Genomic DNA, 19,473 nt, shown 5'->3' with positions numbered 1-19,473 from the left:
ATAAATCTGAAAGGTCACCTAGGCCACAAGGACTGTAACTCCTAGGTGACTCCTAGTGTTGAAATGGGCTCATAGACACTGTACTTGGTGACACACAGCCTAGTGAGATACCAGCTGCGGCAGCTAAAGGAGTGTTTGTAACCTGAGGCAGTACAGTTTGTGCCTCCAGAGGAGACCCCTTTCATCTACTTGAAAAGAAGAGAGGGAAAGTAAAGAGGATGTTGTCTTGCATCTTGAATACCAGTTCAGCCATAGTAGGATAGTGCACCAGTCAGAGTTGTGAGGCCCTAACTCCCAGATGACATTTCTAGACAAACGCTGGGACAGAAGGGAACTTGCTGCATTGAAGAGAAGGACCCAGTCCTGGCAGGATCCATCACCTGATGACTGAAGAGCCCTTGGGTCCTGAATAACCAGCAGAGATACCTAGGTAGTATATGGGCATTGGGTGAGACTCTGAGACTTGTGGGCTTCAAGTAAGACTCAGCACATTTTCAGCTGTGGTGGCTACGGGAAGTGATTCCTCTGCTTGAGAAAAGTGGAGAGAAAAGTAAAGGGGACTTGTCTTGCACCTTAGGTATCAGTTCAGCCACAGAACGATACAGCACCAAGTGGACTCTTGGGGTCCCTGATTCTAGGCCTTGGCTCTTGGATGTATTTCTGGACCTGCCCTGGGCCAGAGGGGAGCCCACATTCCTGAAGGGTGAATCTAAGGTGAGACAGCACTCACCACAAGCTGACTGAAGAGCCCTTGGTCCTTAAGGGAACATCAGTAGTAGCCTGGCAGTACTCCCTGTGGGCCTGTGCTGGTGGCCATAAGGTGAGGCTCCTCTGCCTATGGAAAGGAGAGGGAAGAGTGGGAAGCATTGTGACTTATGGGTTGAGTGCGGGGTCAGACACAGTACAATAGAACACCAGGTAGAATTGGACAGACTTTGATGCCAATACCTGGCTCCTGGATGGTACCTCGGGACCTGCCTGGGGCCTGGTGGAACGCACTGCCCTGAAAGGAAAAACACAGGGCTGGCTGGCTTTGCCATCTTCTGATTGTGGAGCCCCAGGGTCTTGAACAAACATACACAGTAGCCAGGTAGGTAGTGGTTACAGCAGGCCTTGGGCAAGACCCATTGCTGTGCTGGCTTCAGGTCTGATGCAGTGTAGTCTCTGTGGTGGTAACCACTGGGGTGCTCATGGGATGCCATCCCCAGCTCCAGAAGACTCAGAACAGAAAGAGAGACTCCATTTGTGTGAGAAGGAAAAAATATTTTCACCCTAGAATAGTATATCTGGCAAAAATATCATTCAAGCTTGAAAGAGAAATAATAACTTTCCCAGACAAACAAAAGCTCAGGGATTTCATCCACACCAGACTTGCCCGACAAGAAATGTTAAAGGGAGTACTTCAAGCAGAAAGAAAAGGACGTTAGTGAACAATAAGAAATCATTGGAAGGTTCAAAACTCATTGGTAATAGTAAGTACACAGAAAAAACACAAAATATTACAACACTGTAACTGTGGTATGTAAACAAGTCCTATCTTAAGTAGAAAGATCAAAAGATGAACCAATGGAAAATAATAACTGCAACAACTTTTAAAGGTATAAGGAAGAAAGGAAGAAGATAGAAATAGAAACAACAAAAAATTTAAAAGCAGGGGAATAAAGTTAAAGTGTAGAGCTTTTATTAGTTTTCCTTTCACTTTTTTGTTTATGCAAACAATGTTAAGTTGTTATTAGCTTAAAAAATGGATTATAAGACAGTATTTTCAAGCCTCATGGTAACCTCAAATACAAAACCATACAATGGACACATTAAAAAGTGAGAAATTAAATAATACCAGCAGAAAAAAAAATCACCTTCACTAAAAGAAAGAAAGGAAGGAAGTTAAGACGAGAGAAAAGACTACAAAACAACTAGAAAACAAATAACAATATGGCAGTAGTAAGTCCTTACTTATCAATAATAACAGTAAATGTAGATGGACTAAACTCTCCAATCAAAAGACACAGAGTAGCTGAATGAATAAAAACAACACCCAATAATATGCTGCCTACAAGAAACACGCTTCACTTACAGACACACACAGACTAAAAATAAAGGGATAGAAAAACATTCCATGCCAAAAAAAGAGCAGGAGTAGTTACACTTACATCAGACAAAATTGATTTCAAGACAAAAACTATATGAAGAGACAAGGAAGGTCACTATATAATGATAAAGGGGTCAATTCAGTGAGAGGATATAATGATTGTAAATACATATGCACCCAATACTGGAGCACCCAGATATATAAAGAAAATATTTTAGAGCTAAAGAGAGAGAGATCCCAATACAATAATAGCTGGAGACTTCAACACACAACTTTCAGCATTGGACAGATCTCCCAGACAGAAAATCAACAAAGAAACATTAGACTTAATCTGCACTATAGACCAAATGGACCTAATAGATTTGTACAGAACATTTCATCCAATAGCTGCAGAATACACATTCCTCTCCTCAGCACATGGGACATTATCAAAGATAAACCATATCTTAGATCACAAAATAAATCTTAAAAGATGCAAAAAATTGAAATAATACCAAGCATCTTCCCTGACCACAGTGGAATAAAACTAGATATCAACAACAAGAAGAATTTTGGAAACTATACACATACATGGAAATTTAAAAATATGCTCTTAAATGACCAGTGAGTCAATGAAGAAATTAAGAAGGAAATTGAAAAATTTCTTGAAACAAATGATAATGGAAACACAACATACTAAAACCTATAAGATACAGTAAAAGCAGTCCTAAGTGGGAAGTTTATAGCTATAAGTGCCTACATTAAAAAAGAAGAATTTCAAATAAACAATCTAATAATCAATCTTAAACAACTAGAAAAGCAAGAGTAAACCATACCCCAAATTAGTAGAAGAAAAGAAATAATAAAAATGTGAGGATAAAGAAACAAATTTGAAATGAAGAAAACAATATAAAAAAAGAAACAAAAAATGGTTTTTTGGAAAGATAAACAAAATTCACAAACCTTTAGGCAGACTAATTAAGAAAAAAAGAGAAGACCCAAATAAATAAAATAAGGGATAAAAAGGAGACATTACAACTGATAGACGTTTGAAGGATTTTTAGTGGCTACTATGAGCAACTATATGCCAATAAATTGGAAAATCTTGAAGAAATTGATAAATTTCTAGACATATACAACCTACTAAGATTGAGTGATAAGGATATCCAAAACCTGAACAGACCAATAACAACTCAAACTATTCCAAATAATGGAGGAGGAGGAACTTATTCTCTGAGGCCATATTACCTTGATATCAAAACCAGACAAAGACATTGAGAGGAGGTGCCAGCTGGGCTTCCTGGGTCTAGCAGGGGCTCAGAAAGCTATGAAACTCATTTTCTGCAACAGGACTTACTTTGGTCCTGGATGAATAATATTGAAGATATATGCTTAAAATATTCCTAACATCAGAATTTGTGCATGTGTTTTCTTCCCCAAGAAAGCTATAAACAGCGAAACTTTTGCTGTAAGCTTCCCTGTGTCCTCGCTCCCTCTCTCCCTTCCCCCTCCCCTGAAACTGAAAGGAATGTTAAAAGCCCGTTTTTCTGTGACCAGCAAACCTTATCTATGCTCCCAATTCCGATTCCTTGTAAACACAGTTTGTAAAATCCTGTGAGATCCTGTCTCCTTTGCCATGCCGCTGCAAGGTCATAAAGTAGATAAACCTTAAGTTACAATTCCGGTTTTCCTCAAGATCTGATACATGTTAATTGTCTTTGTTTCTCGCTCTGGTAACATCTTCCCGCCGCACGTATTTCCCGCCTTAAAGGGTTTAAAGGGTGATCAAAAAATCTAACACTGGCTACCGGCCCAGGACCCCTTCCACGCTGTGGAAGCTTTGTACTGCCACTCTGCTCAATAAAGCCTACAGCTTTTTTCTCTCAGTCTGATCCGTGTCTCTCTCTCACCGCGGGCTGCCGCCACATCAATTCTTTGGTGTGGCTAAGGCAAGAATCTTTGGCGTTACAACATCACAAAAGAAAACTATAGGCCAATATCACTAATGAATATTGATGCAAAATTTTTCAACCAAATACTAGAAAACCAAATTCTATAAAACATTAAAAAGATAATTTATCATGACCAAGTGGGATTTATCACACGGATGCAAAGATGGTTTAATATAGGCAAATCAACTAATGCAGTACATCATATCAACAGAAAGACCAAACCATATGGTCATTTCAATTGATATTGAAAAAGCACTTGATAAAATTCAACACTTCATCATAATTAAAATCCTCAAAAAATTGGGTATAGACGGAATATATCTCAACATAATAAAAGCCATATACAACATACCCACAGCTAGTATCATACTGAATGGGTAAAACTGAAAGCCTTTCCTCTAAAATCAGGAACACAAGCATGCCCACTTTAACTACTGGTATTCAATATAGTACTGCAAGTCCTAGCTAGAGCAATCAGACAAGAGAAAGAAATAAAAGGCATCAAAAATGGAAAGGAAGAAGTCAAATTATCCTTGTTTGCAGATGATACGATATTAAACTTGGAAAAACCTAAAGACTTTACTAAAAAAACTATTATAACTGGAAAACAAATTCAGTAAAGTTTCAGGATACAATATCAACATACAAAAATCAGTACCATTTCTATATGCCCAGTGAAAAATCTGAAAAAGAAATTAAGAAAGTAATCCCATTTACAATAGCTACAAATAAAATGAAATACCTAGGAATCAACTTAACCAAAGAAATTAAAGATCTTTACCATGAAAACTATAAAACACTGATGAAAGAAATTTAAGAGGACACAAAAATAGAAAGATATTCCATATTCACAGATTGGAAAAAACAGTATTATTAATATGTTCATACTACCCAAAGCAATCTACAGATTTAATGCAACCCCTATCAAAAAAAGTTGAGTTGCTTGATATTTTCTATAGATTGAGGTCTGCAGCTGTGGTTGCCCACCATTTCAGACAGACAATTAATCTTGCAAATAGATGATGTACACTTATGGTATTGACAAATACAGTAAAGTACTATACATTTATTTTCTCTTTCTTATGATTTTCTTAATAACACTTTTTCTCTAGCTTATTTTATTGTAAGAATACAGTATATAATACATTAACATACAACATAGTGTTAATCAACTCTTTGTTATTGAAAAGGCTTCCAGTCAACAGGGAGCTATTACTGGTTAAGTTTTTGGAGAGTCAAAAGTTACATGTAGATTTTCAACTGTGCAGGGAGTTGGTGCCCCAACTCCTGTGTTGTCTGAAAGTCAACTGTATATAAGAAACTCCTGCAACTCGATAGTGAAAAACAAATAACTCAATTAAAAAGTGGGCAAAGGACTTGAACAGACATTTCTCCAAAGAAGACATACAAATGGCCAACAGATAATGAAAAGATGCCCAACATAATTAATTATCAGTGAAATACAAATCAAAACTACAATGAGATATCACTTCATATTTATTAGGATGGCTATTATCAAAAACCCAAAGATAACAAATGTTAGTGAGGATATGAAGTAACTGGAACCCTTGTATACTGTTAGTGGGAAAATGAAATTATGCAGCAGCTATAGAAAACACTAAAGAGTTTCCTCAAAAACTTAAAAATAAAACTATCATGTGATCCAGCAATCCCACTTCTGAGTATATACCCAAAATAATTGAAATAAGGATCTTGAAAAGATATCTGCACTCACACATTCATTGCAGCAGTATTCATAATAGCCAAAATATGGAAACAATTCAAATGTCCAGATGAATGGATAAATAAAATGTGGTGTATACATACAGCAGAATATTATTCAGCCTTAAAGAGGAAGAAAATCTTGCCATATGTGACAACATGGTTGAACCTGGATGATATTATATTAAATGAAGAAAGCCAGTCACATAAGGACAAATACTCCTATATGAGAAATCTATAATAATCAAACTCACAGAAGCAGAGATTGTTAACTACAACTTCGAAATTTGTTAAGAGGGTAGATCCCATGTTAAGTGTTATTACCACAAACAAACCAAAAAACCCAAAGGGACACAAGGAAACTGAAAGTGTTTGATGCATTTATTACATTGATTGTGGTGATGGCATTATGGATATTTGTATATACTCAAACATCAAATTATACATATTAAATATGTGCAGTTCTTTGTATATCAATTATGTTTTAATAAAGCTGTTGTTAAAATTAGAATAATTCTGGAGGGTTTGTTTTCAAAGTAAGTATTTATAAATGTATGGATATATTGTAGAGGAAACGCAAAGGGTAATATAGGACCTAGGGATAATAGCAGTGGAGTAGCAGTTACCAAGCTTAGTCCAGTAGGGACAAAAGGAGGAAGCAGTTGTCAGAACCCAAAAGGAGTGAGTCCTGTAGAGATAGATGCTTTGAAATAAGCAGTGAGCTTCAGTTGAGGCCAACCCAAGACAATCTTTCAAGGAGAGACCCAGAGAAATAAATACTCTGACCTCACCCTCCTCTCTCATTCTGATTTCCTTCTGGGGTTCTGGCCAAATCTAACCAGAAGCCATATGGCAAGGGATTTCATTAATGTAGTCCATATTCCTGGAACATAGGGTAGGGTGAAAAAGGATGATGGGTCTGGATGAGAAGATATCTAGCACTATCGTATTGATGGGCTTAAAGACATAATATGACAAAGATGTTCTCCCCAAATTGTTCTACAGGTTTAGTCACAACCAAAATTTCCACAGATTTATTTTGCGACTTGACAAGCTGATTCTTTAATGTAGAAATGCACATGGCCAAATCATCCTTGAAGAAGAAGATGTAATACAGAATAGCAGGAAAGATGGTGAAGCTAGTTTAATTAGGACTTGATGTATAGTGCAAGAATAGACCAAAAAAATCCATTAGAATAGGATGGAGAGTTCAGAAACAGGCCCATACACATATGGATACTGGATTTATTACAAAGGTGGCACTGCAGAGCAGTACAGAAAGGGTGACATTTTCTTTCCTCTTTTTTAAAACTTTACATATATATATATATATATATATATATATATATATATATATATATATATATATATATATATATATATATATATATATTAGAGGAGGCAGGGGCTCGCCATGTTGCCCAGGCTGGTCTTGAACATCTGGGCTCAAGCAATCCTCCCGCCTCGGCTTCCCAACATGTTAGGATCACAAGCATGAGCTACTACGCCCAGCTGGGTGATCTTTTCAATAAGTGGTGCTGGCTGGGATACCCACTTGAGAAAAAAAGGCAACCCAATAAGAAACTCAGACACTCCATTAAAAATAAAAAAGTTTCTTGACTTTATAAATATTCTGGAAATTTTAAATTAAAACCCAATGGGGTTACCTTACACACCCATGAAAATGGCTAAATTAAAAAAAAAAAAAAACAACCCTGAGAATTACTAACACTTCCTTCTGTTGTAAGGACTGTGGAACAAAGGACATGCTTTTACACTGCTGGTGTGCCTGTAAATTGCTTGTGTCAATCAAGTTCCAGTCAGGAGACAGAAAACACACCAATTGTTTTAGCAGAGGAAACTAACATAAAGAATTGTTAACTAGGCATTGGAAAAATAAAAATGCAAAAAGAAAACAATAAATTACCATGGATATGGTAACAGCAGGAAGCAGCTACCACTCCTAGGGGGGAACAAAGGGAAGAGTTTGAAATTATTAAATCCCAGAAATTTGGAGGAAAGGCTTTGCAAATGTGAAATGCAGACTTCTTAGGAGGGAGCACAGGCCTGATGATGCTCATCTGAGTGCACTTGAGGAGGGTCTTCCAATGGAACACTTCTGGGGAGGGGGTACTGCCAACTGGTGGTGGAGTATCTGAGGAAGTGCAATAAGGCTAATTCTGGAAATGCTGGGGAAACTGCAAACTGGATTAAGCTGCTGCTACTGGCAGGAACTGACACTGCTCTAGCACCTTCTTTAGGCAAAGACTACCAGGGAGGTAGCAGGCAGAGCATAAATGTGGTTTACAAAATCTGAGCCTCAACATCACAGAGCATAACACACAGTGTGGCCTGAGTCTCAGAGACTATTAATAACCAGTACAGCATACCAATTTGGATACTAAGTATTCATATATATCCTTTTACATGTATCTTCACTTCTATACACCAACAAAAATAACTCTTTGTATTTTAATATTATTAATTTTTTTATTAATTATTATTATACTTTAAGTTTTAAGGTACATGTGCACAATGTGCAGGTTAGTTACATATGTATACATGTGCCATGCTGGTGTGCTGCACCCATTAACTCGTCATCTAGCATTAGGTATATCTCCCAATGCTATCCCTCCCCCCTCCCCCCACCCCACAACAGTCCCCAGAGTGTGATGTTCCCCTTCCTGTGTCCATGTGTTCTCATTGTTCATTTCCCACCTATGAGTGAGAATATGTGGTGTTTGGTTTTTTGTTCTTGCGATAGTTTACTGAGAATGATGATTTCCAATTTCATCCATGTCCCAATATTATTAATTTTAATTAATAAGTTGTCACTATCCTTCACACAAAAACACTCTCACAATCTCCCCAAAATGAGAAGTGACAAAGTCACAATAGTTACTGTATTTGCCTCTGAACTATGTTGATTTCTCTTCAAATTCACTTACAGTCCCATCTGAAAATTTTTACATAAACACTAAACTGTAAAGTTAACTTCCAAAAATGATTTTATATAAAATAATAAGGGGAAAGAAGAGAAATAAAAATAAATTAGTCAATATATGCATACAGTTTATATATAATACGTACATACATACATACATACATACATACATACATACCTACCTACATAAAAACAAGGAAGAGACTGTCTCATTGCTACATATACACCATATGGTTTTGGGTTGTAGTTAATATCTAAAACATCCTTCTTCAACTAATTCATATATCCTTAGCCCATTTTGTGTTACCTGGTAGGGAGACCCACAGCTTTATTCCTGAATGGTCTGAATCCTTAAAAATCTTGCCTATTTCCTGCTTAATGTAGTTTTCTATTAACCTTCACTATTCAGCATAGAAATACAAAGAGGTTCCCCAGAGAATTTCCTAAGTGCAAGCATAGTCCTCTCTGACCCCACTGTGGGACAGCAACCTAATTTCTTTGGAGATCTGGATCAATCACTCCAGCCTGTAGAGTAGCCTTTCCTGATTTTTGGTTCACTGGCATAAGAACTTCCAAATAGCTAATAGCGGGTGGCAGTCTCAACTTCCAATTCAATGGAATCATTGTGTCCCCGATTAAAGCATTCCTCCCCTGGTAAGTAAAACCTGTAAGCCAGCAGTGCTCAAATTTACCAGAACAAGAACCAAAATTCTTTAAGTGAGTTATTGAGGAGCCACTTCCACTTTGATTTCTTGGTTCTTAAAAGCAAAATTTAAGTGTTTTCTCCCAACTCATGTCACAGTGGATCTTCAGCAGTCTATCCATTGTTCAGTCAGTCCAGATGCTTCTGGGTGATGTGGTATATGGTAAGTCAAATTAATTCCATGGTATGGAGCCACTTCCACTTTGATTTCTACTTCTAGATCCCTGAGGAATCGCCACACCTATTTCCACAATGGTTGAACTAGTTTACAGTCCCACCGACAGTGTAAAAGTGTTCCTATTTCTCCACATCCTCTCCAGCATCTGTTGTTTCCTGACTTTTTAATGATCTCCATTCTATCTGGTGTGAGATGATATCTCATTATGGTTTTGATTTGCATTTCTCTGATGACCAGTGATAATGAGCTTTTTTCATACGTTTGTTGGCTGCATAAATGTCTTCTTTGGGGAAGGGTCTGTTCATATCCTTTGCCCACTTTTTGATGGGGTTGTTTGTTTTTTTCATGTAAATTTGTTTAAGTTCTTTGCAGATTCTGGATATTTAGCCCTTTGTCAGATGAATAGAGTCCTCAAGGATCTAGAACTGGAAATACCATTTGACCCAGCAATCCCATTACTGGGTATATACCCAATGGAATATAAATCATTCTACTATAAAGACACATGCACATGTATGTCTATTGTGGCACTGTTCACAATAGCAAAGACTTGGAAGCAGCCCAAATGCCCATCAATGATAGACTGGATAAAGAAAATGTGGCACATACACACCATGGAATACTATGCAGCCATAAAAAAGGATGAGTTCATGTCCTTTGCAGGGAGATGGATGAAGCTGGAAACCATCATTCTCAGCAAACTAACACAAAAACAAAAAACCAAACACAACATGTTCTCACTCATAAGTGGGAGTTGAACAATGAGAACACATGGACATGGGAGGGGGGCATCACACGCTGGGGCCTGTTGGGAGGTGGGGAGCTGGGGAAGGGAGAGCATTAGGAGAAATACCTAATGGAGATGAAGGGTTGATGGGTGCAGCAAAGCACCATGGCACATGTATACCTATGTAACAAACCTGCATGTTCTGCACATGTACCCCAGAACTCTTTATATACTTTATACATATACTATATATATTATATATATAAAGTGTACATATATAATATATATATATAACTTAGGCCCAGGAGCCCTAAGTTATCTTGCGACCTCAAGAGGAGAGGAGTTTACCCAACTCACAGGTATTTGATAATACAAATCCATGGCTGGGCTCAGCTTTAAAAAAGTATTGTTTGAGGATCCTTCTATGGAACAAAGTTCCATCAAAGCTAATTTAAAACACCTATGTAAAAAATAATTATTTTTGCTGCACTTTACACAAATAATCTGGCCAAGTATAATGCAACAAAACAAAACCCTACAAAATTTAGGAGTTGTCTCCCAACTCATGTCACAACTGGATCTTCAGCAGCCTAACCATTGTTCAGTCAGTCCAGCTGCCTTTGGGTGATTTGGTATATGGTGAGTCAAATGAATTCCATGGTATAAGCCCATTTCTGTGCTTCATTTGCTGTGAATTGAGTTTCTTATTAAGAATCAATGTCATTAGAATATCATGATGGTGCATAAGACATTTCACAAGTCCACACATGATAAAGGTAGCAGAAATATTATGGTAAATCCATACTCAGAGCCAGTGTCTATTTCAGTGAGGAAAAATCATTTACTACTCCTTAATAGAGGCTATCCTACGCAGTCAACTTGTCACCAGGTGGATGGCTTGCTCTCTCCAAGTGTTCCTCTCCTATCTTGGCAGGCTAGGCACTCAACAGTAACAATATCCAGGTAAGGCATGTGAGAAGATATATCAAAATGCTCCTGTCCTTTGGATCCCAAGAAAACTTCACCGAAGCGATAGATTCTGATTTTTTTTTTTTTTGATGGAGTCTCGCTCTGTCGCCAGGCTGGATTGCAGTGGCGTGACCTCGGCTCACTGCAACCTCCGCCTCCTGGGTTTGAGCAATTCTCCTGCCTCAGCCTCCCGAGTAGCTGGAACTACGGGCGCATGCCACCACGCCCAGCTAATTTTTGTATTTTCAGTAGAGACAGGGTTTCACCATGGTGGTTTACTATTCTGTTACTAATGGGAAGTTCTTGAGGCTTATACTTGCCTCCTCCTACAATAATAACTCTCATTTCATGGATCAGAGAGCAAATGTGAAGATTCTGCCACTGTCTGAATGTGTCTACTCCAATTATATATTCAAGAGCTTGGGGGAATAACCATAGGGTGGGTAATCTGATTTACTTGTCACAAACATAGGTCAAAACTCCACTATCATCTTACCTCCATAAGCCCACATTTAAGCTCGTGAACCAGTGTAATAATGTGGGTTCTCAGAAATTAACATCAATTCAGAGCTAGTGTCTAATATCCCCCAAAAGATCTGGCTATTTCCTTTTCCCTATGCTGTCACCACGGTAAATGGCTATAGGTCCCTTTGGAGAAGGTTTGGGATAAGGTTTACAGTATATATTTATGGCAGTGCTCCGGGGTGTTTCATCAAGGGGACCTATCCTCTCCTTTGATCACAGAGCTCTAGGTCTATGAACTTTTTTTTTTTTTTTTTTTTTTTTTTTAGTAGAGACGGGGTTTCACCTTGTTAGCCAGGATGGTCTCGATCTCCTGACCTTGTGATCCGCCCGCCTCGGCCTCCCAAAGTGCTGGAATTACAGGCGTGAGCCACCGTGCCCGGCCTGGTCTATGAACTTTTTAGGTGTTTTAGAACTGGGTTTGAGGAGCCATGAATTTCCATTTTAGTGATTCAAGTCAAGTTTCTATCAAACCTAGATTCTTGTTGTTTAGATCAAATATCATTTTAGTAATCTACCCATCTATTTCATTCCAAAGGACACTGTGATGAATTAGCTGCCATCAAAAATTGTTGAGGACCAAAACATTGTGATAATCACTTTGTCCTTATTTCCAGTTAAAGTACTTACTCTCATCTCTTGTAGTTAAGGGCTGACAGTTGGCCTCTGCTACTCAGGGATACCAACATACTGACTGATATCAGGGCACTCATCTCAGTGTTGTAACTTTCCACTGTCATACCTGGCCTACGTAAGACAACCATCACAGAACTTTACAAGGGCACTGATTGTAGTAGATTGAATAGATGGCCACAATTCTTTACTCCTCCCTGTATCCATGCTCCTTTGCTCTGTGGCGAATAACCTCCTATCAAGAGGTAGAATATATTTCCCCATGCCTTGAATCTAGTCTAGCCTTGTAACATGCTTTGACCAATAGAATGTGACAGAAGTGACATTGCACTAGTTTTGAGCTCACGCCTCAAGAGCCTTGTACACTTTCACTTTCTCTTTTGGAACCTTATTCACAGTCATATAAACAACCCTAAGCTAGCCTGCTGGAGGATGAGAAAACAATGGGGAATAGAGATGAGCCATTTAAGCTGAGTTCTTTCAAGACCAGCCAGCCCTCAGATGACCTGCTGGCTGATGTCACAAGCATGAGTGAGTCTTGTCAAGGTAAGCTGAGCCTGGCACAGGACAGCAGAACCACTAGGTCAATCTGTAAACTTGTGATCTAAATAAATGTTTTTTTTAATCTTCCAAGTTTGAGGATGGTTTGTTAATGTAGCACTAGGCGACTAATACAGTGGTGCTCTTCTCACTAATATATTTCTCAAAACCTTAGTGAAAGGAATATTTTCTGGGCCATCTTGGGGGATACAGTGTGTGTGTGCGTGTGTGTGTGTGTGTGTGTGTGTGTGGTGGCTGTGGAAATCACATATGATGAATTCACTCCATCATTCCTATCTCCCTAAGCTTTCATATTCCTTCCTCTACATTATGTCACGAAAGTTCTAACATCTCAACTGATTTAAATGTAGGCTGCCATTCAGTCCAAATTTTAGTCAACTAGCCAAAGAAGCTGTTAGAGTTACTTCCTTCTGTACAAGCTAATGCACTAAATCCATAATCTCTAATAAGTGTACCTATATTAATAACTTTGTCAATAATAATTAAATTGAACATTTAAAAATAAGTAAAAGAGTGTAGTTGTATTGTTTATAACACAAAGGATAAATGCTTGAGAAGATGGATATCCCATTTACCCTGTTGTGATTATTACACATTACATGCCTGTATCAAGATATCTCACGTACCCCATAAATATATACACCAACTATGTACCCACAAAAATTAAAATTAACAATAAAAAATAAATCCTATAACTAAAAATGCAATTAATAAAATAAAAAATGCAATAGAGAGAATCAACAGCTGAATTGATCAAACAGAAGAAAGAATGTGAATTTGAAGAAAGATTATTCAAAAATATACAGTCAGAATGGCTATTATTAAAAAGTCAAAAAAACAGCAGATGCTAGTAAGGCTGCAGAGAAAAGGGAATGCTTATACACCATTGATGGGAATGTAAATTAGTCCAGCCCTGTGGAAAGCAGTCTGGAGACTTCTCAAAAAACTTAAAAAACAGAGCTACCATTTGATCCAGCAATTCCATTACTGGGTATATATCCAGAGGAAAATAAATCATAAACCAAAAAGACACATGCACTCATATATTCATCACAGCACTATTCACAATAGCCAAGACATGGAATCAACCCTGGTGCCCATCAATGGCAGATTGGATAAAAAAAATACAGTACATATACAACATGGAATACTATGCAGCCATATTGAAGAATGAAATTATGTCCTTTGGAGAAATATGGATACAGTTGGAGGCCACAATCTTAAGTGAATTAACACAGAAACAGAAATCCAAATACTGCATATTCTCACTTAAAAGTGGGAGCCAAACACTGAGCACACATGGACATAAATATGACAGCAATAGACCCTGTGGACTACTGGAGCAGGGAGAGAAGGAGGGGTGAGGGTTGAAAAGGTACGTACTGGGTACTATGCTCACTACCTGAGTGATAGGATCTGTACCCCAAGCCTCAGCATCACACAAATCCCCATGTGACAAGCCTGCACATGTACCCCCGTATCTAAAATAAAAGTTGAAATAAAAAAAAATACAATCAAAGGAGAAAAAAGAAAAGGAATAAAAAGGAATAAAGAAAGCTTCTGAGATTTATGGGATAGCATCAAAAGAGCAAATGTTCAGATTATAGGGGTTCATGAAGGGGAAGAGAAAGAGAAAGGGATCTAAGCTTATTCAAAGAAATAATAGAAAAATTTCCAAATCTGGAGAAAGATATAAATCTCCAGGTACAGGAAGGTGAAAAGTCTCCAATCAGATTCAATCCAAATAAGAATACTATGACCAAACTATTAAAAATCAAAGACAAAAAAAGGATCCTGAAATCAGCAGCAAGAAAAATAAAGCAAATATTATATAAGGGAGTTCCAATATGCCTAGCAGTGAACTTCTCAGAAGAAACCTTGTAGGCCAGCATAGAATGGGATGATATATTCAAAATGCTGAAAAGAAAAAACACCACTGTCAACCAATAATACTATACCAGCAAAACTATCCTTCAGAAATGAAGGAAATATAAAGACTTTCTCAGACAAACAAAATCTGAGGGAGTTTAACACCATCAGACCTGTCATACAAGAAATGTTAACGGGAATTATTCAAGCTGCAAAAGAAAGAACTCTAATGAGTAACATGAAAACATTTGAAAGTATGAAATTCTCTAGTAAAAGTGAGGACATAGTCAAATTCAGAATAATATGGTAATGGTGGCATGTAAATCACTCATATGTTTAGTATGGCGATTGAAGGACTAAATTATCAAATATAATAACTATGATAACTTGTTAAGGGATATGCAATATTAAAATATGTAAATGGTGACATCAAAAAATTCAAAATGTGGGAGTGAAGAATGGGGTAAAACTGTAGGTTTCTGTTTGTTTGTTTGTTTTTTGGCTATCAAAGTTAAGTTGCTGTCAGCTTAAAACAACCTGTTATAACTATATGATGTTTTTTGTAAGCCTAACAGAATGAAACTATGAAACTACTAGAAGAAAACATATGGGAAAAGCTACACAGTGGCCTCAAAAGCACAGGCAACAAAAGTGAAAATAAACAAATGGGATTACATCAAACTAAAAAGTTGCTGTATAGCAAAGGAAATAAACAGAGTGGAGAGAATGAGAGAAAATATTTGCAAACTATGTATCTAATAAGGAAGTAAGGAACTCACACAAGTCAATAGCAAGAGAACAAATAACCTGATTTAAAAATGGGCAAAACATCAGAGAAATGCAAATCAAAACCACAATGAGATACCACCTCACACCAGTTAGAATGGCGATCATTAAAAAGTCAGGAAACAACAGGTGCTGGAGAGGATGTGGAGAAATAGGAACGCTTTTACACTGTTGGTGGGACTGTAAACTAGTTCAACCATTGTGGAAGACAGTGTGGTGATTCCTCAAGGATCTAGAACTAGAAATACCATTTGACCCAGTGATCCCATTACTGGGTATACACCCAAAGGATTATAAATCATGCTACTATAAAGACACATGCACACGTATGTTTATTGCAGCACTATTCACAATAGCAAAGACGTGGAACCAACCCAAATGTCCATCAATGAGAGACTGGATTAAGAAAATGTGGCACATATACACCATGGAATACTATGCAGCCATAAAAAAGGATGAGTTCATGTCCTTTGTGGCGACATGGATGGAGCTGTAAACCATCATTCTCAGCAAAGTATCACAAGGACAGAAAACCAAACACTGCATGTTCTCACTCATAGGTGGGAATTGAACAATGAGAACACTTGGACACAGGATGGGGAACATCACACACCGGCGTCTGTCATGGGGTGGGGGGAGGGGGGAGGGATAGCATTAGGAGGAATACCTAATGTAAATGACGAGTTAATGGGTGCAGCACACCAACATAGCACATGTAACAAACCTGCACATTGTGCACATGTACCCTAGAACTTAAAGTATAATAACAAAAAAGAAACAATAACAAAAAAACAAAAAAGAAAACAGAAAAAAGAAAAAAAATGGGCAAAAGACCTGAATCAGTGTTTCTCAAAAAAAGACATACAAATGGTCAACAGGTATGTGAAAAAATACTCAACATCATTACCATCAGGGAAATGCAAAGCAAAACCACAATGAGATATTGCCTCATTCCTATTAGGATGGCTATTACCAAAAAGACAAAAGATAACAAGTGTTGGTGAGGATGTGGAAAAAAGGAAACCCTGGCACACTGTTGGTGGGAAGGTAAATTAGTATACTAACTATGGAAAATAATACAGAGGTTCCTCAAAAAATTTAAAAAAGCCTTGCCAGCATCTGTTGTTTCTTGACCCTTTAATAATCACCATTCTGACTGGTGTGGGATGGTATTTCATTGTGGTTTTGATTTGCATTTCTCTAATGATCAGTGATGTTGAGATTTTTTTCATATGTTTGTTGGCCACGTAAATATCTCCTTTTGAGAAGTGTCTGTTCATGTCCTTTGACCACTTTTTTATTTTTTTCTTGTAAATTTGTTTAAGTTCCTTGTAAATTCTGGATATTAGACCTTTGTCAGATGGGTAGATTGCAAAAGTTTTCTCACATTCTTAGGTTGCCTGTTCGCTCTGATGATAGTTTCTTTTCCTGTGCAGAAGCTCTTTAGTTTAATTAGACCCCACTTGTTAATTTTTGCCTTTGTTGCAATTGCTTGGAGAAATAGGAACACTTTTACACTGTTGGCGGGAATGTAAATTAGTTCAACCATTGTGGGAGACGGTGTGGCAATTCCTCAAGGAGCTAGAACCAGAAATACCATTTGACCCAATAATCCCATTACTGGGTATATACTCAAAGGAATACAAATCATTCTGTTATAAAGATACGTGTACGTGTATGTTCAGTGCAGCACTATTCACAATAGCAAACACATAGAATCAACCCAAATGCCCATCAATGATAGACCGTATAAAGAAAATGTGGTACATATACACCATGGAATACTATGCAGCCATAAAAAGGAATGAGATCATGTCCTTTGCAGGGACATGGATGAAGCTGGAAGTCATCATCTTCAGCAAACTAACACAGGAACAGAAAATCAAACACTGCATGTTCTCAATCACGGTGGGAGCTGAACAATGAGAACACATGGACACAGGGAAGGGAACAATACATAACGGGCCTGTTGGGGGGTGGGAGGGAGAGCATCAGGATAAATAGATAATACATGTGGGGCTTAATACCTAGATGATGGGTTGATAGGTGCAGCAAACCACCATGGCACACATTTACCTATGTAACAAACCTGCACGTTCTGCACATGTATCTCAGAACTTAAAATTAAATTAAATTAAAAAAATTAAAAAAGAACTAGCTTATGATCCAGCAATCCCACTATTGGGTATATATCCAAAGAAAATGTAATCAGTATGTCAAAGAGATATCTGCATACCCATGTTTATCGCAGCACTATTCACAATAGCCAAGATATGGAATAAAACTAAGTGTCCATCAATGAGTGCATGGATTTAAAAAGTGGCATATATACCACTTGAAATATTATTCCAGTACCACTTTGGAATATTATTTAGCCATAAAAAAGGAAATCATGTTATTTGTCACAGCATGGATGAACCTGGAGGACATTATGTTAGGTGAAATAAGCCAGGCACAGAAAGACAAATACTGCATGATCTCATGCGTGTGAAATCCACAAGTTAATCTCATTAAAGTAGAATAGAATGGTGGCTACCTAGAGGGCAGGGTGGTTGGTTACAGGGGGCAGGTGGAGAGATGTTGGTTAAAGAATAGAAAATTACAGTTAAATAGGAGGAATAAGTTCTATCGTACAGTATGGTGACTATAGTTAATAACAATATGTTGTATTCTTGAAAAATAGCTAAGAGATTGGATGTTGCATTCTCACTACGAATATGATAACTATGTGTGATAATGCACTTTTGTTAATTATGTAGATTTTACCATTCCACAATGTATATATCCTTCAAAACATCATACTATACACAATAAATACATATAATTTTATCTGTCATTTTAACAAAAGAAAGATATACCAGCTCTGGCTTCAGATGAAGGAGCTTTGGGGTAGAATGATTTGAAACCTCTGCTCCCTATCAAATTCTAATGCTTTCTCAGGTCATATTGAGTTGAGATAATTGAACTGAGGGAACACTTACTTACGTGGTAATTTTTGGCTAAAAAAACAGGACACTGAAAACATGCCGACAGTATAAAAGAATGAAGTTGAACCCTTACATCTCATCATATATAAAAATTAACTAAAAATGTATCAAAGATATAAATGTAAGAGCTAAAATATAAAACTCTTAGAAGAAACATAGATGTAACTCCTTATGACTATAGTTTGGGTAGTAGTTTCTTAGATATAACACCAAAAGTACAAGCAACAAAAGGCGAAAATAGATAAATTCAACAACATCAAAATTAAAAACTAGTATGCTTCAAAAGACACCATCAGGACAGTGAAAAGACTACTCACAGATGGGAAAAAATTTTGCAAATCATATATCTGACAAGATCTTGTATCTAGAATATGTAAAATGCTCTTACAACTCAACAATAAAATGAAAAATAAGCCAATTTAAAACTGGGCTAAGGATTTGCATAGGTATTCCTCCAAATAACATATTCAAATGAACAATAAGCAAATAAAAAGAAGCTCAACATCATTAGTCCCTAGAGAAATAAAAATCTAAACTATAATGTGATACCACTTCACCTCCTCTAGGATAGTTACAATAATAATAAGGAAATCAACTAAAATGAGTGTTGGAGAGGATGTGGATAAATTGGAGACCTCATACGTTGCCAGTAAGAATGTAAAATTGTGTAGCCATTGTGGAAAATAGTGTGGCAGTTCCTCAATTGGTTAAACATAGAATTACCATATAATCCAGCAATTCCATCCCTAGAAAAATGAGAATGTATTTACACAAAATATCTTGTATATGAATGTTCATAGTGGAATTACTCACAAAAGCCAAAAGTAGAAACAACACAAATGCATATCAACC

The 19,473-nt window shown here is 37.2% G+C and overlaps 1 protein-coding gene across 4 annotated transcripts in view, besides 1 other annotated feature; it reads right to left on the bottom strand.

The window, feature by feature from the left end:
• SPRY3 (sprouty RTK signaling antagonist 3) overlaps positions 1-19,473 on the bottom strand; it is a 169,874-nt gene that overhangs the window by 137,031 nt on the left and 13,370 nt on the right. The window lies entirely within an intron of this gene.
• Positions 12,782-12,831: an enhancer, noted in NCBI's record as "active region_30078". NCBI's record gives its function as "activates an Ori minimal core promoter by ATAC-STARR-seq in GM12878 lymphoblastoid cells {active_cell/tissue: GM12878}" and the evidence as "EXISTENCE:reporter gene assay evidence [ECO:0000049][PMID:35858748]".

The sequence above is a fragment of the Homo sapiens genome, chromosome X (genome assembly GCF_000001405.40).
Source record: "Homo sapiens chromosome X, GRCh38.p14 Primary Assembly".
In the NCBI taxonomy this organism is placed as follows: domain Eukaryota; kingdom Metazoa; phylum Chordata; class Mammalia; order Primates; family Hominidae; genus Homo; species Homo sapiens.
This window is presented reverse-complemented; position numbering and strand designations above follow the sequence as displayed.